The sequence below is a fragment of the Homo sapiens genome, chromosome 3 (genome assembly GCF_000001405.40).
Source record: "Homo sapiens chromosome 3, GRCh38.p14 Primary Assembly".
NCBI lineage: Eukaryota > Metazoa > Chordata > Mammalia > Primates > Hominidae > Homo > Homo sapiens.
The window spans coordinates 177164851-177187789 of record NC_000003.12 but is presented as its reverse complement, the minus strand read 5'-3'; the positions used below and the strand labels follow the sequence as shown (position 1 = coordinate 177187789).

The following is a 22939-nucleotide window of genomic DNA, read 5'->3' as shown; positions in this document are numbered from 1 at the left end:
TGGAATCAATAAGTGCTTTTTTTCCTGATAACCTTTTGTGTTTCTCTTTTCTTCTCATTGTGTCTTTTTCAGCACAGTGGAGAGCGGGACATTGTAAAGAGACATTCAGTGACTCAGTTTTTGAGTGGATGCTTTTGTTTTTTGTTCTTAGTTTGCATCTGCTTGAATGGGGTAGCATTTTAACATGGGTCTAATATTAAGCAAACAAGTATTTTTAAACCAATTCTTTGTAAAGCCATGGTTACATGAGTAAATCACTTAGCTTCTATAAATGTCTATTAAGATGATCAGATGAAATGTTACCTGAAGTTCTCTTATTTGTGCAAATACTTGAATGAGTATACTCGATACTTCAATTCCTTTATTAAGATCCTAGGATTCTTTTTTTTTTTTTTTTTTGAGATAGAGTCTCTGTTGTCCAGACTGGAGTGCAATAGCACAATCTTGGTTCACTGCAACCTCTGCCTCCCGGGTTCAAGCGATTCTCCCTGCCTCAGTCTCCCGAGCAGCTGGGATTGCAGGCGCCCGCCACCACACATGGCTAATTTTTGTATTTTTAGTAGAGATAGGGTTTTGCCATGTTGGCCAGGTTGGTCTCGAACTCCTGACTTTTTTTTTTTTTTGAGACAGAGTCTTGCTCTGTTGCCCAGGCTGGAGTACAGTGGCACGATCTCGGCTCATGGCACACTCCGCCTCCCGGGTTCATGCCATTCTCCTGCCTCAGCCTCCTGAGTAGCTGGGACTGCAGGGGCCCGCCACCACGCCCGGCTAATTTTTTTGTGTTTTTAGGAGAGACGGGGTTTCATCCTGTTAGCCGGGATGGTCTCGATCTCCTGACCTTGTGATCCGCCCGCCTCGGCCTCCCAAAGTGCTGGAATTACAGGCGTGAGCCACCACGCCTGGCCGAACTCCTGACTTTTAAGTGATCTGCCAGCCTCAGGCTCCCAAAGTGCTGGGATTACAGGTGTGAGACACCACGACTGGCCATGATTTCAATTTTATGAGTTTTGACGGGGATCTATATGGAAATTTTTTTTAGAGTATTTAAGTACTAAAAATCTACAGCCTTTCATAGAGTAATAGTCTGGAAAGTATGTGACATGAGCATAAGCAAACACCTTGCCAGATGGGGTATAGTAATAACATATTTTAGTGGTTACCTTCAACTGTGAATAGAACACAGTTTATGGGTTAGGGAGAGATGTTTTATTCTCTTCCTTTAATTTCAACAGGCTAATTGGGAAGAGTGTATACTAATGTTGCTACATTTCTGTTTAGTGGCTATCATATGTCATTAACTCACAGTATAAGGCAATTGACTCATCTACTTTGGGTTTCTGAAATAAGGTAATGAGAATAGATAATGAATTTATCTTTTCTTTTTCTGCAATTACCTTTTTATGGGGCAGAACTTATAAAAAATAAGGATTTTAGGATACGATTTGTAGCTGTAGCAGTGCTCTTTGGCACTCATTCATATAACAATGTAATATACATGCTTAAGATTTTTCCCCTAGTAAAATGATGGGTTTTCTTTAAATTACTGTTCTCTGTCCTCTTTAGTAACGGATATACATTTGTAAAATTACAGACTGGGGTTAGGAGTGCAGACTGTTATTGTATTGTGTTCTTGTGCAAAAAAACCCCAGGTGTATCATGGGAATACATCTTTGACCTTGGACTTCCTTGTGTCCTGCTGGCAGAGGTCACTAGTTTTGACACCTGGTGAGAGATGTGAAGTGTTCCTTTATTTACTTATATTTATTTATTTATTTATTTGAGGCAGGGTCTTGCTCTGTCACCTGGGCTGGAGTGCAGTGGTGTGAACATGGCTCACTTTACCCTCCAACTCCTGGGCTTAAGCAGTCCTCCTACCTCAGCCTCCTGAGTAGGTAGGACTACAGACGAGCAGCACCATGCCCAGCCAATTTTTTTATTTTTAATTTTTTGTAGAGAGAGGATCTCACTATGTTGCTCAGGCTGGTCTCGAATTCCTGGACTCAAGCAGTCCTCCTGCCTCCCAAAGTGTTGGGATTATTGGTGTGAGCTGCTGTGCCCAGCCAATGCTTCTTTTATATATTTATTTAGATTTGGTGTTTGATTTTTTTGTTAATAAGGGACCTTCTCAAAGATACTTTTAAATGAAAAGACAAAGGGTCAGAAAATACTGGTTTTTTTTTTTTGGAAACAGTCTCATTCTGTGACCCAGACTGGAGTGCAATGGCGTTGATCTTGGCTCACAGTGACCTCCGCTTCCTGGGTCCAAGTGATGCCCCTGCCTCAGGCTCCTGAGTAGCTGGGACAGGCTCATGCCACCATGCTTGGCTAATTTTTTTGTACTTAAGTAGAAATGGGGTTTCGCCATGTTGGCCAGGCTGGTCTTGAAATCCTGACCTCAAGTGATCCATCCTCCTCGGCCTCCCAAAGTGCTGGAATTACTGGCGTGAGCCACTGCCCCTGGCCGGTTGGCTGCTATTTTAACTTAAGGGGTAGAAGACTGGAAAGGAGGACACATGCAATACAGTGTGTATGAGTATGTGTGTATTTATATATGCTTGTTGTGTGTGCTTAGAGTGACTCTAGAAAGCTGTGGAAGAGACTGATAACAATGCTGTTGGGGTAGGTAGATTATGTAGTCAGATGTCAGAGAGACTTATTTTCATGTGTAACCTTTTGAACTGTTGATGTTCTTATTACCATTTTGAAAAAAAAATTGAAAAATCGAGGCATGTGGTTAAGCTTTTAAAAACTTTATTTCTTTGGATTTGGATAGGATGGTCAAAAGAAGGGGGAAAATGATGTTAATTTCTCCTGTGCTTTTCAGTCAGTTCTTAAAGAGCTGTAACTGTATATTTCTGTAAACACTTATTTTCATTTTTCAGACTTGTTGGCAGAATTAGAGTAGTGGTATGATTAACAAGTGTTGTTTCTGTTTCATGACTGGGTCCTTAGACCAGTGGTGAATCAGTGATGATTTTTTTTTTTTTTTGAGCCACAGTCTTGCTCTGTCTCATCCAGGCTGGAGTGCAGTGGTGCGATCGGCTTACTGCAGCCTCTGCCTCCAGGGTTCAAGTGATTCTCCTGTCTCAGCCTCCTGAGTAGCTGGGACTACAGGCATGTGCCACCATACCTGGCTAATTTTGTATTTTTAGTAGAGACGGGATTTCACCATGTTGGACAAGCTGGTCTTGAACTCCTGACCTAAGGTGATCCACTGGCCTCTGCCTCCCAAAGTGCTGAGATTACAGGCGTGAGCCACCGCACCTGGCCAACTGGTGAATTTTGAATCCTATCCAAGCTTGATACTTAGAAAATAATTTAGTGCAAACTTTAGGAGGTTTTGGTTGTCCAGAAGTACTACATTTTGTCTTATTTCAAAGGTATTGCTTTGCCAAGGGTTTGGACATTAGGTGAATATTGGGGTTCTCATAGTGGTTGACTTTAATAATTATAGTATTTGGCACAATGGGATTTGTGGAACTATGGCTTCTGATACTGCACCGATCCTGTCATGACTTACAAACTTAGATGTATGTGTTATTGATGTCAAGGTGACAGATATATTAGATTTTAATGCTATTTTTGGTTGCAGTTGGTGTCATTTGCAATTGTGTCACTTGCAGCTTTTTGTTGGCTATTTAGTTTACCAGTAAAGGGGCTTGCCTTCTAGTTGTGCTCATTTTCAACTTCAACTGGAGCAACCTCAGAGAAAGGGAGCACCTGTTTTGGTGCACAGAATTGTGCTGCACTGTGACTTTGACACTAGCCTTCCTTTGAGGGCACTGTCATGGCCCTCTTCTCAGCAGTAACAGGAGACTAGGTAGGAGAGTCTTTGTCTCATTTTTGGCAGTGAACTCTCAGTATGTTACTGTGGTGAAGAGCTGGTCTCGAGCTCCTGACTTCAGGTGATCCACCTTGCCTTGGCCTCCCGAAGTGCTGGGATTACAGGCGTGAGCCACCATGCCCGGCCGATTAGATGTTTCAAGAAAAAGAAGATTGTACCTTTCTTAAAAATAAAGTTTTTTGGTCGGGCGCAGTGGCTCATGCCTGTAATCCCAGCACTTTGGGAGGCTGAGGTGGGTGGATCACCTGAGGTCAGGAGTTTGAGGAAAAAATTCGCAAGGTGTAGTGGCGGGTGCCTGTAATCCCAGCTGCGGAGGCTGAGGCAGGAGAATCACTTGAACCCGGGAGGCGGAGGTTGCAGTGAGCCAAAATCGCACCACTGCACTCCAGCCTGGGTGAAGGAGTGAAACTCCGTCTCAAAAAAATTTTTGCTTTCCGGAGTGGAATCCCTACTTTTCTCCAGGCAACACTGCTCTGGTTGACAACTGACAACTGCTTTATCAGTCACTTCAAATATATATGTTAAATTTTACACAAACGTTAACATGGATTCTCACTAAAAATCCATATGGCACAACACAGGGTATGTATACATGCAGAAATAACTGAAGGGTTATCAGGAACTTATGCACACACATTTTCTGTACTCTTCATTTAAAAACATGCTTTTATAAACCTAAATGAATTTTATTACTTAATTTTATTCAGTGAATTTAGAAAATACTCGTTCAAAGGAGTATAGAATTGTACTTTTCTACTTTTATGGATTTAGAGTCAGTACTCAGAAACGTCGACGTTCTGAATGACAGAGCATGGATGAGTTACATTTATTGGTGCTAATGTCTTTAGGTTGTATTCTGAAGCTGTATGAGGATTCTGAAGTTATGGTGCCTCAATTTTGTAAGGCATACATAAGAAGTAAGATACAAATGATAAGGAATTTTGATTGCTCTTAAATGTAAATTTAAGAGTTTTGGAGGGAAAATCTGAACAGCTGTAGCTTAGGAACCCTGAATGCTTCTCATAAAGGACAGTACTTAGAAGAATGACCATTATATAAAGTTTCTTATATCCCATTAGAGAAGAAGTTTGGATAATTATATTGTTTTAAAAAAATTTACATGCCATAACATGTTGCCTGCATGAAGTTACACTATTTGATTGAAGATTAAGCATTAGGCTTCTTTCCGTGACAGTCTTAAATTAACATCCTTGCCAATGATGACCACTAGTCATGTGTTTCTAGCACAGGCCTCTCCTTGATTGAGAGTTATTTGTTGCCTCATCTCACTAGGCAGAGATCCTTCCTTGAAAACAGGTCTCTCTCACCCATCTTGACCCTCAGCATCTGGTACAGTGCCTGGCACTCTTTAGCCTTTCCATTGTTGAGTTGAATCCTATGAGGCTCTGACTGAGGTATACGTTTGCTAGTACAGTAGACTCTTGTTGCTTTTGTGAGTGATTCACATATACAAAACTGGAAAGGAGATACATCCAGTTTCACAAATTAATTGTCCTTAGAACTTACTGTGTTCCTGCTGTCAGAGTTTTCTTCTTTTTCTGAGACAGGATCTTACTCTGTCACCCAGGCTGGAGGGCAGTGGCACGGTCATGGCTCACTGCAGCCCTGAACTCCCCGGGCTCAGGTGGTCCTATCACCTCAGCCTCTTGAGTATCTGGGACTACTACGCCACCATTCCCGGCTAATTTTTGTGTTTTTTGGTAGAGATGGGGGTCTCACTATGTTGCCCAGGCTGGTCTTGAACTCCTGGGCTCAAGTGATCCACCTGCTGTAGCTTCCCAAACTGCTGGGATTACAATAGGCATGAGCCACTGGGACTGGCTGTGCTGTAAGAATTTTGAGGGTCTGCTTGATAACCTGGCACCCTGCTCTTTGGTTTTTGTCATCTGCAGAATCCTTTTGGCTTGAAAACAGTGTAGAACTTGCTAGGGGAAACAAGGAATATACTCAAAATGTGGGTAAAAGATTCAAAGACCTTGGCCTGACCGTAGCAGTTAAACCTGAATTGGGGTGTTATTTGGGCTTGCCCACTTCTTCCTGATATTTATGTATTCTGCAGTCTCTTTAGACCCTTCATCATGTGTGTGTTTTTTTTTTTTTTTCCTAACTTGAACCCTTACGTTTACCTGATACTGGCATATGATTCTTGCCTGGCTTTTTTTCTGATTCATGGTCTTGCATACCCAGTCCATACATCTACTGCTGCCCTTCTCTTTGACTGTGGTTTTCCCTCAGAGGTCAAAGGATGTGTATACTCTGTGTCCTTTGTCTCTTTAAACCAGTTGCACAAGTGATTCTGTGGCCCAGATTGGTTCTTCCGACCTCCTCCTCTCCTGATCTGCTAGCATGGAATCTATCACAATCTAGCATGGGGACATCTTGTATTTTCCCGTGTTTTCTACTGTTGAGTGTAGGCTGGCAGAGGCGTTCTTTTTTTTTTTTTTTAAGACGGAGTCTGGCTCTGTCACTCAGGCTGGAGTGTGGTGGCATGCTCTTGGCTTACTGTAACCTCCACCTCCCGGGTTCAGGTGATTCTCATGCCTCAGCCTCCTGAGTAGCTGGGATTATAGGCGTGTGCCACCACACCTGGCTAATTTTTGTATTACTAGTAGAGATGGGGTTTCACCGTGTTGGCCAGGCTGGTCTGGAACACCTGGCCTCAAGCGATCCACCCACCGTGGCCTCCCAGAGTGCTGAGATTACACCTGCGCCAGTTCAGATTTTCATTTAATGACAATGAGTTGCGACAAGACAGAGTTGGAGAATAGAGGAGGTTCAGAGTTGGAAGAAATGGGAGTAGGTGATGGCAACACCGAGTTGTCAGAGTGAGCTGAGGCAACATCCTCTACTTCTAGCTCACTGATGAAAATATCCAGGATAGCGGGTCTGGGGTCCAGTGCCATGGGTCACGCCTCTAATCCTAGTACTTGGTGGTAGGCCGAGGTGGGTGGATCACCTGAGGTCAGGAGTTCAAGACCAGCCTGACCAACATGGTGAAACCCCCGTCTTTACTAAAAATACAAAAAACTAGCAGGGCGTGGTGGCCTGTAATCGTAGCTACTCCAGAGGCTGAGGCAGGAGAATCCCTTGAACCCAGGAGGCAGAGGTTGCAGGGAGCTGAGATCATGTCATTGCACTCCAGCCTGGGTGACAAGAGCAAATCTCCGTCTCAAAAAAAAAAAAATTCCAGGGTAATCTGAGATCTTGGTATTTAGAGACATTTGGTTGGGATGAGGGGTCTTGGTAGATTTGATTCTGTTATCATTTGGAACCTTCCAAAGTAGAGGATGACGCATTTGTTTTTGAGCTACTTTCTAGAAACCAGAATTTACTGTCAGAGAATATAGGATTTTCGGTTTTAAAACTTTGAACTTAAAATGATTGCAACAGTATTTTAGTGATATTCTAAAAAATATTTAAAAATAAAAGTTTAAAAAAGTCGTCAGCAGATTAAAAAAACTCCAAGGAGAGTAATATTTAAATGAGTAACATTTTTGTTTTCCTCTGAATGTTGTTAAAACAGACAAGGTACTATTAAATGGGGGGGGGGGGAATGAACGTATTTATGGGCTTTTCCCTTTTTTACCCTTTGTTTACTTGTCTGTAGATTAAAGTAGGTACTTTAATCTTTTGTATCTCTGGGCTCTGTTTCTTGTAGTGGGTATGCTTTTTTTTTTTTTTTTTTTTTTGAGACGGAGTCTTGCTCCGTCACCAGGCTGGAGTGCAGTGACACGATCTCAGCTCACTGCAACCCACGCCTCCCGGATTCAGGCAATTCTCCTGCCCCAGCCTCCCAAGTAGCTGGGATTACAGGCACGTGCCACCATGCCTGGCTAATTTTTTGTATTTTAGTAGAGATAGGGTTTCACCATGTTGGCCAGGATGGTCTCGATCTCCTGACCTCATGATTGCCTGCCTTGGCCTCCCAAAGTGCTGGGATTACAGGCATGAGCGACTGCACCCAGCCTGTAGTGGGTATGTTTTTTAATTTGTTGCTTCTCTACTTGGTTTGTTCCCTTTTTTGTGTCAGATATGCTGGTGAATCTAGCTGCCTCATTTTATCTAGCCTCATTTGCCTTTCTTGCGTTTTCTTCCAGATGATTCATGTGTATTTTGCTAGTAGATATATCGGTTGGTTGGCTCCTTTGTTCTGACAAATCAACATAGAAGTGACTTGTTACAAGTGAGAACTGGTAATGACAGGAACCATAACAGCATGCTAATGGTCTTTGATAAATATGGTGAATGCACATGGTAGAATTTAAAGGTCTTGGTTTGAAGCCCTCCCAAGAGTAGTTGCAACTTTGAGGTTGGGTTTAGGAATAACTTCTGCAACCTTTAGCTTCACTCCTGGGAGAAACTTTGGATACATTTTACCTGCCTCTCTTGAGCTTCAGTTCCCATATTTGCAAAATGCCATGACTTATCTCTTAAGAATTTAGTTAGAATAAAACAGATACCGTAAGTTAAAAGAATACTTGGTTGTGCTCCAGCGTGTGTCTGTATCCGGAATAGGCTCATATGTAATTGGTAAATACGAGAATTATGTCAGTACAACAAGGAGATTGCTCTGGTTCATACGTGATTTTCCCCAGCATATTCATGTTTTGCATCAGGTAACAATAGTCGAGCTCAAAGTACACTAAGAGCTGAATGAAACAAGCCATGGTGGCCACTTGTGAATTCTTCCTGTTGGCCTAGTTTGGCCATGTTTTTAGTCTTTGAAGTTTTTGGAGGGGGTTGTTGTGCGATTCTCCCCCATCTCTTCACAGCCCCAAGTATCTTTTTTTTTTTTTTTTTTTTTTTTGAGACGTAGTTTCGCTCTTGTTGCCCAGGCTGGAGTGCAATGGCGTGATCTTGGCTCACTGCAATTGCCACCTCCCGGCTTCAAGCAATTCTCTTGCCTCCGCCTCCCGAGTAGGTGGGATTACAGGCACCCGCCACCACACCCGGCTAATTTTTGTATTTTTAGTAGAACGGGGTTTCACCGTGTTAGCCAGGATGGTCTCGATCTCCTGATCTCAGGTGATCCACCAGCCTCGGCCTCCCAAAGTGCTGGGGTTACAGGCGTGAACCACTGCGCCTGACTGATAATCAGGTTATAAAAGAAAAGAAACCACAGCAGTTCCATGGGTGAAGAATATTTATACCCTACCCAGTTTGATCCTGGAACCTTTTCCACAACTTGTCTTAAAATATGGTCCCATCTCCTTTATTTTTCCAATAGATCGCTGGATTCCTGTATAATTAGGGCTTCTCCATGTTGGTCAAGCTGGTCTCGAACTCCTGACCTCAGGTGATCCGCCTGCCTGGGCATCCCAAAGTGCTGGAATTACCTGCTTAGTGTGCTTCCTTCACCTGAAAGTTGTATCTTTATTAGGAACTTAATATTAAACATTTTTATTTGTATTTTTATTCACATTGCCTTTGTTAATATTTTGGTTACAAAGTGGCATAGGGATGGTCTTCCTTTTTTTTTCTCATAAAGTGCTTGTTACTTTTAGCATGTGACTGTGTAAAGTCAAGTTTTCCGGGAATGCTTATATTGTTTTATAGAGTGCACAGAAGAAACATTTATACTTATTTTTAAAATCTGGTACTATATTAGATGCCCAGTAAATGTCATTTTCTTCTCTTTCCCCTTCCTTTAAGGGTTTTTGATCACACTCAGTATAAAGTTCAAACATCTTAGCCTATGAGGGTCCCTCCTCCCCAAACTCTGCTGTGCGATCTGGCCCCTGGCCACCTCACAAACCTTATCTTGTTTCACCTTGTTCACCGTGCCCAGCCATTCCAGCTCCACACCCACTGAACAAGCTTATTCCTGTCTCAGCGTCTTAATTACTTTGTTCTTTGCCTCATACTCTGCCCTGAGATTGTTATATAGCTGATTCTTTTATGTCATTCCCTCTCAGTTCCAATGCCAACACCTCAGAGAGGTTACACTGAAATTACTGCCCACCCGCGGCAGTTTTCAGCCATCAGACCCTTATTCTCCACGTTGCAGTTTTGTCTCTCTGAAGTAACTTTGATCATTGTTTTTTTTTTTAAACGTCCCTCCAGAATTTAAACTGCATGAGAACAGGGAGGGGCTCTATTTTATGTGTCATTCTGTCTGCAGCTACCTAGAACAGGACCTAGCAGGTTCGTAATAAATAGTTGAGTGGATTGTTGTCTTAGGTATGTTTTCATGATTAGCTGGTAGTCTTAAATTGGTTCATCCTTATAATTAGAGTACTGGAAATAATTTATTAAAAGGTTAGCATTTAGGGGAGGGTCAGAAGAGGTTTTACTAAATGTTGAAATTTGGAAGCCCAGGGACATATGTGAGTGCCATACTTAAAGATGGCAATCGAGTCAAATAATAGAAAAAACGGGTAAATGGATAATTGATGGACCAATCTGAAAATGTGCTTTGTACTGATGATAATCATAAATGAGAAGTTAATGTTTTATTTTTATTTTTATTTTTTTTGAGATGGAGTCTTGCTCTGTCGCCTAGGCTGGAGTGCAGTGGCGCAATCTCGGTTCACTGCAACCTCTGCCTCCTGGGTTCGAGTGATTCTCCTTCTTCAGCCTCCTGAGTAGCTGGGATAACGGGCGCACGCCACCACACCCGGTTAATTTTTGTATTTTTAGTAGAGATGGGGTTTCACCGTGTTGGTCAGGCTGGTCTCGGACTCCTGACCTCGTGATCCGCCTGCTTTGGACTCCCAAAGTGCATGGGTCAGAACTCCTTTAGTTATATGATAGAAACTTCATGCAAACTTTTGGCTTAAGTTAAAAAGGGTATTCATTGGCATTGGCATATGGAATCCAAAAGTGGACTGATTGATTGGGAAGAGCATTGAGTCAGCTGGGATTTAGGAGCAACCGGAACCAGACCCATTTGGATGCTACCAGTAATCTCTGTCAACAGCCCTGCTATTTTCCTTTTTCAAAAAATTGAGATGGCTTCCCTTTGTTGCCCAAGCTGGAGTAAAGTGGTGCGATCACTGCCTCCTGCAGCCTTGACCTCCTGGGCTCAAGGAATCCTCCCACCTCAGCCTCGTCAGTAGCTGGGACTACAGACGTGCCCCACCATAGCCAGCTAATTTTTAAATTTCTTTTTTGAGACAGAGTTTTTCTTCTGCCCAGGCTGGAGTGCAGTGGCGCAATCTTGGCTCACTGCAACCTCTGCCTCCCGTGTTCAAGTGACTTTGCTGCCTCAGCCTCCTGAATAGGTGGGATTACAGGCATGCGCCATCACGCCTGGCTAATTTTTTGTGTTTTTAATAGAGATGAGGGTTTCTCCATGTTGGCCGGGCTGGTCTCGAACTCCTGACCTCAGGTGATTCACCTGCCTTGGCCTCCCAAAGTGCTGGGATTACAGGTGTGAGCCAGCTTGCCCAGCCATAATCAAACATTTAAATAATATTAGCATTTAAGAAAATTAACCAGTGGCTCACACATGTATTCCCAGTACTTTGGGAGGCCGAGGTGGGTGGATCATCTGAGGTCAGGAGTTCGAGACCAGCCTGGCCAACATGGTGAAATTCCGTCTCTATTAAAAATACAAAAATTAGCCAGGCATGGTGGCGCAAGCCTGTAATCGCAGCTACTCGGGAGGCTGAGGCAGGAGAATCGCTTGAGCCCAGGGGGCGGAGGTGTTGCAGTGAGCCGAGATCGCACCACTGCATTCCAGCCTGGGCGACAGAGCCAGACTCCATCTCAAAAACAAAAAACAAGAAAATTAACAAGTTACATATTCTGAACAACTTATTATTTTATTGATTTTTATTTATTTTACTTTTTAAATTTTCCCCCAGATATCAGTGCTGCAAATTTATTTATTTGTTTATTTTAATTAATTTTTTTTTTTTTTTAGAGACAGAGTCTCGCTCTGTTGCCCAGGCTGGAGTGCAGTGGCGCTATGTGGGCTCACTGCAAGCTCTGTCTCCTGGGTTCACCCGCCATTCTCCTGCCTCAGCCTCCTGAGTAGCTGGGACTACAGGCGCCCACCACCACGCCCGGCTAATTTTTGTATTTTTAGTAGAGATGGGGTTTCACCGTGTTAGTCAGGATGGTCTCGATCTCCTGACCTCGAGATCCGCACGCCTCGGCCTCCCAAAGTGCTAGGATTACAGGCATGAGCCACCGCGCCTGGCCTGAATAACTTATTATTTTAATGCTTCATTAGGTCACCAAAATAAGTAAATGGGTTGCCATGTAGAATAAGCCTTTTGTGACTTAAGATATTTGTTTCTGGATTTCAGTTGCTTCATCCTTAACACGTTATGTTGAATCTCTGAGAGGTTTTTTCTGGACCTAATGTTCTTTAACCCTATGATTGCATATATAATTTAAAAAATTAAGTGTGTTCACCCAAATTACAGGGAGTGTGTACAATACTGATCTCTGCCTGCACTGGTTTTTCTTAAAACATTTGCGTTTTCCAGGCACGTTCTCAATTTTGAATACATTAGTCTCAAAATATTTTTTAGATATCTGAAGAGGAAACTTCTATTTTATTCATTAAACTTGTGAGTTCAGGTGCATTTGTTACATTCTGTTTCATGGAAGAGAGAATTAAAATAATATCACCAAACACATTTTTGAGAATGATTTTTTTTCCTTTAATATCTTTATTTTCATGGTATGATTCCTGAATGTCAAAGCCAATTCTTCAGCAGCTAAGCTTTTATTTTGCTTTGTCTTGGAAATTGTGTACTAAAACTGTGTTTGTTAAGTAGTACAATACAATGTTATTCACATTTATAATCTTCTAAATACTAAAATAAGTTTCAGGAGCTGCTTATATTAAGTGCTAATTGAGAACCAGTGTACATTAAAATAATTTACCATAAAAAATAAGACATGAGAAGAAGGCAGGTGTCAGGGAATAAAGATGCCAAACAGTTTGGTCTTTTCTGGCAAACAGTTTTGTTTATGTCTAGCGTACAGTTTTTAAGTTGGTAAATGATGAGAAGGAGCTGGAAATTGGTAAGCAGGGCTCATATCATAAAGTGACTTCTTTGCTGTGCCTAAGGACATTCTTCTGACCGTAATAGGAACTAGTGAAGGATTTTAAACGGAACGGCAGGATTATGTTTCAACCTTGGATGTGTAGTGTGTGAAGGATGAGATGAGGATTTGGGAGGGAAGGGCCTTAGCTCTGGACAGGGGAGAAAGTTGAGCTGGTAGTAGTGTAATAGGTGTGAATGACACCAGTAATTCTTGGAGTATTGCAAACTAGTTCATGTTTCTGAATTCTGCAAAAAATGCAATTGGAGATTCATAAGAGAGTGGTATTGAAAAGAGCTAAGCATCCGGGTCTCCTTTCTGGCTTGCTACTGCTCCTCTTTTTCTGGGGAACAGGAGTATGAAGATTGGGAGTTTGTTGGGATGGGGAATTAATTTGCTTCTGAATAGCTAATGGACAAAAGCTAAAGCAGGAGGGTGTGTTATGGGAAGTTGCTATTGAGAATGAGGAATCCTTTGTCATCATCATAACCTTTTTTTTTTTTTTTTTTTTTTGAGATGGAGTCTCGCTCTGTCACCCAGGCCGGAGTGCAGTGGCACTATCTCAGCTCACTGCAAGCTCTGCCTCCTGGGTTCACGCCATTCTTCTGCCTCAGCCTCCCCAGTAGCTGGGACTACAGGTGCTTGCCACTCCGGCCGGCTAATTTTTTTGTATTTTTACTACAGACGGGGTTTCACTGGTTAGCCAGGATGGTCTCCATTTCCTGACCTCGTGATCCGCCTTGGCCTCCAAAAGTGCTGGGAGTACAGGCGTGAGCCACCGCACCCGGCCTGTCATCATAATAACCTTAACCAAGGGATAAATAAATTAGATGCTTATTTGAGAATAGTCACGTGAAAAATCGATTGGTATAAGTAGTTCATGAAGTTGCTAGTGGGTGTAATTTTTGAATTTCGGATTAGTCCCTTTTTCATATATTTTGACAACACTTCTAAAGATTTTACATTAATATAAAAGTCATTAGAATTTCTTTGATAACATTGGAGTGTTAATCTGGATTAAATGTATAACTGATTATAATTTAAAAATATTAACTTTTGAAATAATTTTAGATTTACAGAAAGTTGCAAAGTTAGTACAAAGTTCCAGTGTACCCTCACACTGCTTCCTCAGTATTACAGTCTTACCTAACCATGGTGTATTTATCAAACCTAAGAAATGAACATTGGTATAATACTAAACTATAGGTTTTATTTGGATTTCTCCGGTTTTTTCCACGAATGTCTTTTTTTCTGTTCCAATAGCCAATCCAGGTTCTCATGTTGCATTTAGTTTTCTCCTTAGTCTCCTCTGACCTGTGACAGTTTCTCAGTCTTTCCCCTTTTTCATGACCTGGACAATTTTGAAGAGTACTGGTTTGTCTGATATTTGTAATGATTAGACTGAGGTTATGGGTACAATACCATAGAGTTGATGTGCCTGTCTCATCACATCATATCAAACAGGGGACACTTATTGGTATATTTTAATCTTGGTGATGTTAATCTTGTCTCTTGGTTAAGGTAATGTGTGCCAAGTTCCTTCGCTCTGAAATTACTGTTTTTCGCTTCTCAACCTGCTCATTAGAAGTGAGTCTACTAATCTAGCCCTCATGCAAGGCAAAGGGATGTTAAGTTCTACGTACTAGAGGGAAAAGCATGGAAAATTTGTGGACATATGTTAAAATCACCACGGTAATTAAGAAATATGGTGTTTTGTTTTGTTTTGTTTTGTTTGAGATGGAGTTTTGCTCTTGTTTCCCAGGCTGGAGTGCAGTGGCACGATCTCGGCTCACTGCAGCCCCCGCCTCCCAGGTTCAAGCGATTCTCCTGCCTCAGACTGCGGAGTAGCTGGGATTACAGGCATGCATCACCACGCCCGGCTAATTTTGTATTTTTTGTTTGTTTGTGTTTAGTAGATACGAGGTTTCTCCTTGTTGTTCAGGCTGGTCTTGAACTCCTGACCTCAGGTGATCTGCCCTTCTTGGCCTCCCAAAGTGCTGGGATTACAGGCATGAGCCACCGCGCCTGGCCAAAGAAATATGTTAAAACCACTGTGGTAATTAAGAAATACTTTGGGGAGATGCTTTGAGGCTGTGCAGATAGCCATTTTTTTCCTTGAAAGTTTTGTCCAATAATTTTAGCATTCATCAGTGGATCTCATCTGGAGCAATACTTACTATGGCTTGGCTTGGCTTGGCTCGGCTTGGCTCTTCTCTTCCCTCTCCTCCCCTCCCCTCTCCCCTCCCCTCCCCTCCCTTCTCTCTCTCTCTCTTTCTCTCTCTCTCTCTTCTCTCTTTCTTGAGATGAGGGTCTTGCCTTGTCACTCAGGCAGGAGTGTAGTGGTACGATTATGGCTCACTAACCTTCCGATCCTGGGCTCATGCGATCCTCCTGCCTTGGCCTCCCAAAATGCTGGGATTAGAGGCATGAGCCACTGCATCTGGCCGATGACTGTGGTTTTCTAATGGTGTGATTTTTCTAGTTCCCTTATTCCTTTTTACATGCATTAATTGGGTTTTTTTTCTTTACAGGAGATTTGTTCCTTTTCTCCTGTATATTTACTTATTTATTCACTCATTCCATGACTTATGTCAGTGTGGACTTGTGGATATTTTTGTTCTTTGGGTTATAAGGGTTATAATTTTTTTTTTTTTTTTTTTGAGGTGGGAGTTTTGCTTTGTCTCCCGAGCTGGAGCGCAGTGGCGCAATCTTGGCTCACTGCAGCCTCTGCCTCCCGGGTTCAAGTGATTTTCCTGCTTCAGCCTCCCAAGTAGTTGGGATTACAGGTGCGTGCCACCATGCCCAGCTAATTTTTTGTATTTTTAGTAGAGACGGGGTTTCACCATGTTAGCCAGGATGGTCTCAATCTCCTGACCTATCCGCCTGCCTTGGCCTCCCAAAGTGCTGGGATTACAGGCGTGAGCCACCGCATCTGGCCATTCTTTGGGTTATAATTTAATGTTACCACTACTTGATTTGCTGCTACAGTTGTTCCACCTTTTGCCACTGGCACCTCTTTCAGGCTGGCCTCCTGTGCCCTTTCAACATGCTCTGTCCTTTGATTTTTTAAGCAGTTTCTTACTTTCTGACATAACAATTTGCTCCAAACTCTTCTGGTATTTTTCTTTTCTAGCCCTAGAGTCAGCCATTTCTCCAAAAAGCCCTGGATTTCTTTTTTCGGAATCACAGCAAACTTTTTTTTTTTTTTTTTTTTTTTTTGAGACGGAGTCTGGCTCTGTTGCCCAGGCTGGAGTGCAGTGGGGCGATCTTGGCTTACTGCAAGCTCCGCCTCCCGGGTTCACACCATTCTCCTGCCTCAGCCTCCCGAGTAGCTGGGACTACAGGCGCCCGCCACCACACCACACCTGGTTAATTTTTTTTTGTATTTTTAGTAGAGATGGGGTTTCACCGTGTTAGCCAGGATGGTCTCGATCTACTGATCTCGTGATCCACCTGCCTCGGCCTCCCAGAGTGCTAGGATTACAGGTGTGAGCCAGTGCGCCCGGCCAACAGCACACTTCTAATTCAGGAGGTAGTGTCTTCATATGGATTTTATGTGTGTATGTATGTATTTATTTATTGAGACAGAGTTTCACTCTTGTTGCTCAGGCTGTAGTGCAATGGTGCGATCTCAGCTCATTGCAACCTCTGCCTCCTGGGTCCAAGCAATTCTCCTGCCTCAGTCTCCCGAGTAGCTGGGATTACAGGCATGTGCCACCACACCTGGCTAATTTAGTATTTTGAGTAGAGATGGGGTTTCTCCATATTGGTCAGGTGTGTCTTAAACACCTGACCTCAGGTGATCCGCTCGCCTCGGCCTTCCAAAGTGCTGGGATTACAGGCGTGAGCCACCGCGCCTGGATTTTATAAGGTATCAGTATTGGCTTGAACGTGATTGTATAATAGTTTTTTCTTAAGGCTTTTGAACCACAGTTATTCACTCAGTGGGCTTCAAAAAGGTGTTTGCTACATGCCAGCATTGTTAGAACTGGGGATCCAGGGACAGGTAAGACATGATCATTGGCACGGTGGCTCATGCCTGCAATCCCAGCACTTTGGGAGGCTGAGGTGGGTGGATAGCTTGAGCTCAGGAGTTTGAGACCAGCTTGGGCAACATGGCGAGACCTCGTCTCAACAAAAAATACAAAAACTAGCTGGGCATGGTGGTGCATGCCTGTATTCCCAGGTACTTGGTGGGCAGAGGCAGGAAGATTGCTTGAGCTGGGGAAGTGGAGACTGCAGTGAGTGACACAGTGAGACCCTGTCCCAAAACAACAACAACAAAAACCATTGATCTCAAGGACTTTAGAATATAAATGTGAGAAAGACCTTTTTCTCCCCACCCGATTCTATCATTGAGTGCCTATTATGCTCCAGGCACTGTGCCACGTCAACAGGAAATAAGAGCCAGGTAAGCATAATACAGGCTGTTTTTAGGAGCACCTGGGAAGGGTTATTAACCCAGTGTTGGGCCAGGTGGAGTGTAGAGCAAATCTTGAAAGATTTGCTAGATATGGAGTTGTGGAGGGGTGGGGGAAGAAGGACATTCCAAAAAGAGGAATATTAGTGGAAAGACCGCCAGGGATAGTAATTTATGAGTTAGGTCTACAGGTAAGTGTTTTTGTGTGGGACGGTTGGTGTGGGAGTTGGAGGTAGTGATGACAGGATCCCAGGTCATGAGAGGCTTGTGGATAAGCCAAAGCTTTGGAAAGTTGAGGGACCTAGTGAAGGAATTTGAGTGGGGCTGCAGTGTAATCAGATAACCCTGGCAGCACCTTGGAGAATGCATTGGGATTCAGGAGGCTATTGTCATGATAGAGGTGAGAAGTGAAAGTCTTAACTAGGAACAGTGGAACAGTGGAATAGTGGTTCTCAGATTTGTGTGCATCAGAATCACCTGGAGGGCTTGTTAAAACACAGACTGCTCAACCCTGCCCCCCAATTTCTGATTCAGCAGGTCCTAGGCTAGGACCTGAGAATGTGCATTTTCAGCAGTTTCCCAGGTGATGCTGATACTGCTGATCAATAAGGAGTATTTTAGAGCCACTGGGTGGGATAAAGGGAGTGAATTAGGGGGAAGGATTTAAGTAAGTGGTCATTGTGGAACTCTTCATCTCCTGATCTTTTTGTTGGCAGTGCTCCTTAACTTTTGGTCTTCATCTCATTTACATCTTTTAGAGCTGCTGACTGTTTTGACCAGTGAAGAAAGAGTGAGGGATTAGTGTTTGGAAACAGTTATATGGGTATGGGTGCAGTTTGTCTTGTGTATTACCTTTGGAAAAGTTGTACCACTCCATTACTGGAAGTCTTTGTCATTTCTCTATTAAGCTTCAGTTATAACAGTGGTTTTGTAGTAGCATTGCCTGAATATACATGTAGTGCATAGTTTGCAAAATGTTCTAATATGGTAGCATTATTTTGAATAGTTTCTTATTCCATGTATCTGCCATGATCATGCTTTTCTTAGCTTTGACTCTTTAGTGTCTTCCTGGAACCCTTGTGATAGTAACTGAAATGTCAATCTGATTGTTTTTATAACTGTGAATCTTAACATAATGAAATAGTGCTTTTTAAAAAGAGAGATAATTGTAAAATTCAAAGATTTATCCACTTTTGTGGCTGCAAGGTGATTATAACTTATTTCTCCTTTAGGCTAATGATTACAAAAGGTATAAATTCTAGATTTAAAATCTAAAGAAATTGGTATCCATGGAATTTGGTCTTCACTAATGTTGGAACATATCGAAGTGATAAATTCCCACTTTATCGCTATTGATTAATGAACAACATTAAGAAAATGATAAAATGTAATTACTATTACCACCTTAACAACTGAGTTTTCATTTTTGTAAATATGTGGAGTTTTCATTTTTGTAAATATGTGGTCAAGCTTTAGGGATTCAAGAATCCTAAAATAATAAGAAAAAAAAAGTTAATCACTTAGTCTAAGATGACTGACTAGAGGGTAGTTGGATTGGTAAGGCAAAGACAGGGTAAGTCAACATTTGTTTCCCCCTCTCCAAATCTGTATTTTCCTATTATGGAAAACCATAAAATGGCTGAAGATTTCAATGAAGTGAATACTTTAAATAATTGTAAATCAAATAATGCAGCTTTTAGGCTTAATAAGTAAATGTAATTCAGAAATGATTGAATTTTTATTTTAATACAAATATTTTGTAAAGTATATGTTTATTATAGCATTAAATGTATACAAGTTTGTAGAGAGAGAAAAGTTCAGTATGTTCATTATGTTCACATCCTTTCATGAACACCAAGTGAAGCAGTAACAACTGATTGTGAAATACATTGTATTTGGAGCCTTTAGAAAACGGTTCATGGCCGGACGTGGTAGCTCACCCCTGTAATCCCAGCACTTTGGGAGGCCCAGGTGGGTGGATCACCTCAGGTCAGGAGTTCAAGACCAGCCTGGCTAATATGGTGAAACCCCGCCTCTACTAAAAATAAAAAAATTAGCTGGGTATGGTGTCGGGTGCCTGTAATCCCAGCTACTCAGAAGGCTGAGGCAGGAGAATCGCTTGAATGCGGGAGGCGGAGGTTGCAGTGAGCCGAGATTGCACCACTGCACTCCAATCTGGGCAACAAGAGTGAAACTTCGTCTCAAAAAAAAAAAAAAAGGTTTATTTCCGTGTTTTCTTCCATGTTGATTCTTTTTAACTTCAAGTAGTAATGTATTTCTTAGAATTTTGTGTACCTAAATGAACACTTTAATTAGAAGAGGATTCATAAGTTATTTTTAATTTACCTGTGACAGAATCCTAGTTTCTGTTATATAACATGGCCTAATGTATATTGTTTATATATTTATCTCATTACATGGAAGAATTTAGCTTAACTGAAAAGATGCTGAAAGTTTTTGGTTGTTTCCCATTTATTATTTGAAAGTCCAGAGTAGTAGTTATAAAACTTGTATTGGAGTTTTTGTCCTATAACAACACTTTTTTAAGATACTTATTTTTTTTGTTGTTTTTTTTGAAACAGTGTTTCGCTCTTGTTGCCCAGGCTGTAGTGCAATGGCATGATCTCGACTCACTGCAGCCTCCACCTCTCATGTTCAAGAGTCTCAGCCTCCCGAGTAGCTAGCTGGGATTACAGGCATATACCACTACGCCTGGCTAATTTTTGTATTTTTAGTAGAGATGGGGTTTTTCCATGTTAGTCAGGCTGGTCTCGAACTCCCAACCTTAGGTGATCCGCCTGCCTTGGCCTCCCAGAGTGCTGGGATTACAGGCATGAACCACTGCGCCCAGCCTAAGAGACTTAATTTTTAAAGAGCAGTTTTAGGTTCACAATAAAATTGAGAGAAAGACACAGAGGTTTTCCATACCCTCTGCCTCGTGTCCCCAGTTACCAACATCCTGCACCAGAGTGGTACGTTGGTTACAGTTGATGAACCTAAGTTGACATCATTATCACCCAAAGTCCATAGTTTACATTAGGGTTCACTCTTGGTGTTGTACGTTCTGCGTGTTCGACCAAATGTATAATGACATTTGCATCTTGCCTTATAATAGAGAGGATTTTCACTGCCCTAAACATTTTTTGTGCTTCACCTATTCATCCCTTCCCCCACTTCCTGGCAACCTTCTGGCTGCCTCCATAATTTTGCCTTTTCCAGAATGTCACATAACTGGAATCATGTAGTATGTAGCCTTTTTAGATTGACTTCTTTCATGTAGTAATATGTATTTAAGATTCCTCCATGTCCTTTCATGGTTTGATAGCTCATTTCTTTTTAGTGTAGAATAATAATCCATTGTCTGCATGTACCAAGTTTATCAACTTTGACCTACTGAAGGGCGTCTCCATTACTTCCAAGTTTTGGCAATTATGGATAAAGCTATTATAAACATCCACGTACCGGTTTTTGTGTGGACACAAGATTTAAACTTGTTGGGTAGATACCAAGGAAATGTTTGCTGGATCATATGGTAAGAGTATGTTTAGTTTTAGTAAGAAAGTGTTAAACTGTCTCCCAAAGTGGCGGTACCATTTTGTGATTGCACCAGCAATGAATGAGAGTCCTCTTGCTCCACATCTTCACCAGCATTTGGTGTTTTCAGTGTTCCAGGTTTTGACCATTCTAATAGGTGTGTAGTGATATTTCATTATTGTTTAAATTTGCAATCCCCTAATGGTGTATGTAGTAAGTCCATTCTCACACTGCTATAGAGAACAGCCCCAAACCAGGTAATTTATATAGAAAAGAGTTTTAGTTGACTCACAGTTCTGCATGGCTGGGGAGGCCTCAGGAAACTTACAATCATGGCAGAAGGGGAAGCAGGCACTTCTAACATGGCAGCAAGCAAGAGAGTGTGAAGGAAGAGAAGTAGGAAGAGCCCCATATAAAACCATCAGAGAACTCACTATTATCAGAACAGCATGGGGGAAGCTGCATGATCCATTCACCTCCCATGAGGCCCTTCCCTCAGCACCTGGGGATTAGAAGATGAGATTTGAATGGGAACACAAAGCCAAACCATATCAGTATATGATGTGGAACATCTTTTCACATGCATATTTACATACGTATGTGTTCTTTGAATAAGGTCTCTGTTTAATATTCTTGGCCTATTTTTAAAATAGGGTTGTATGTTTCCCTATTGGTGAGTTTTTAATGTATTTTTCCTTTATTGTATTTTATTTATCTCATTATCATTGTTATTGTTATTATTTTTAGAGATGGGAGTTTCACCATGTTGCCCAAGCTGGTCTCAAACTCCTGAGCTCAGCCAATCCACCTGCCTTGGCCTCCCAGAGTGCTGGGATTACAGGTGTGACCCACTGTGCCTGGCCTATGATCCATTTTTTTGGACAGGGTGTGGCTCTGTTGCCCAGGCTGGAGTGCAGTGAGGTTATCTTGGCTTCCTGCAACCTCCGCCTCCCAGGCTCAAGCAATCCTCCCACCTCAGCCTCCTGAGTAGGTGGGTCTACAGGGGCATACCACCATGTCCAGCTAATTTTTTGTGGAGATAACGCTTTTGCCATGTTGCCTAGGCTGGTCTTGAACTCCTGGCCTCAAGTGATCATCTTACTCAGCCTCCCAAAGTGGTGGGATTACAGGTGTGAGCCACTGAACCTGGCTCTGTGATCTATTTTGAGTTAGTTTTTGTGAAGAGTGTGAGGGCTGAGTCTAGACTGGTTTTTTGCATATGGATGTTTAGTTGTTCCAGCACTCTTTGTTGAATAGACTGTCTTTGCTCCATTGTATTGTCTTTGTTACTTTGTCAGAGATCAGTTTTCTATGTACAGATGTATTCTGGGCTATTTTGTTCCACTGATCTATTTGTTCTTTCACTAATACCATATTGTCTTGATAACTGTAGCTTTTTAGGAAGTCTTGAGGTCAAGTAGGGCAAATCCTTTCACTTTGTTCTCTCCTTCAAAAAAACTTCATATAAACTTAAGACTTAAGTTTGTTGATATCCACAAAATTTGCTGGGATTTTGATTGAGATTGTGTTGAATTTGTAGATCAAGTTGGGAAGAAATGACATCTTGACAGTATTGAGTCTTCTATCCAAGGAAATGGAGTATTTCTCCATTTATTTAGTTCTTTGATTTATTTCATCAGACTTTCTTCATATAGATCTTATCCATATTGTTAGATTTGTGCCTGAGTAATATAAATGGTTTTGTGTTTTTCACTTCAAATTGGGAAGCGATTGACTTTTGTATACTAACCTTGTATCCTGCAAGCTTACTGTAATTGCTTATTAGTTCCTGGAGTTTTTTTTGTCAGTTCTTTCAGATTTTCTGTGTAGACAATCATGTCATCTGTGAACAAAGATAGTTTTATTTCTTCCTTCCCATTCTTTACCTTTTCTTATTGTGTTAGCTAGAACCCATAACAAATTTTTAGATACGAGAAAGAAGGAAGGCATTAAGGTTAAGTAAAATGTAGTACTATCATACATTTCTTTGCCACGGTAAAAAAAAAAATTAAAACTTCAACAAACTCGAACATATGTTTAAAAATATTTTAAAGTAAATATACAATTTTTCCTACAATGCTGTAGAGTATTTGAAATTTTTAGGGATACCATAGTCT

General features: G+C 41.8%; 1 protein-coding gene across 14 annotated transcripts in view, besides 1 other annotated feature; it reads left to right on the top strand.

The window, feature by feature from the left end:
* Positions 1–22939, top strand: part of TBL1XR1 (TBL1X/Y related 1) — a 182457-nt gene that overhangs the window by 14011 nt on the left and 145507 nt on the right. The gene's annotated exons all lie outside the window — the stretch shown is intronic.
* Positions 6015–6309: a silencer, noted in NCBI's record as "tiled region #10853; HepG2 Repressive DNase matched - State 8:EnhW, and K562 Repressive non-DNase unmatched - State 14:Gen5'". NCBI's record gives its function as "represses a minimal TATA promoter and a strong SV40 promoter by Sharpr-MPRA in HepG2 and K562 cells {active_cell/tissue: HepG2 | K562}" and the evidence as "EXISTENCE:reporter gene assay evidence [ECO:0000049][PMID:27701403]".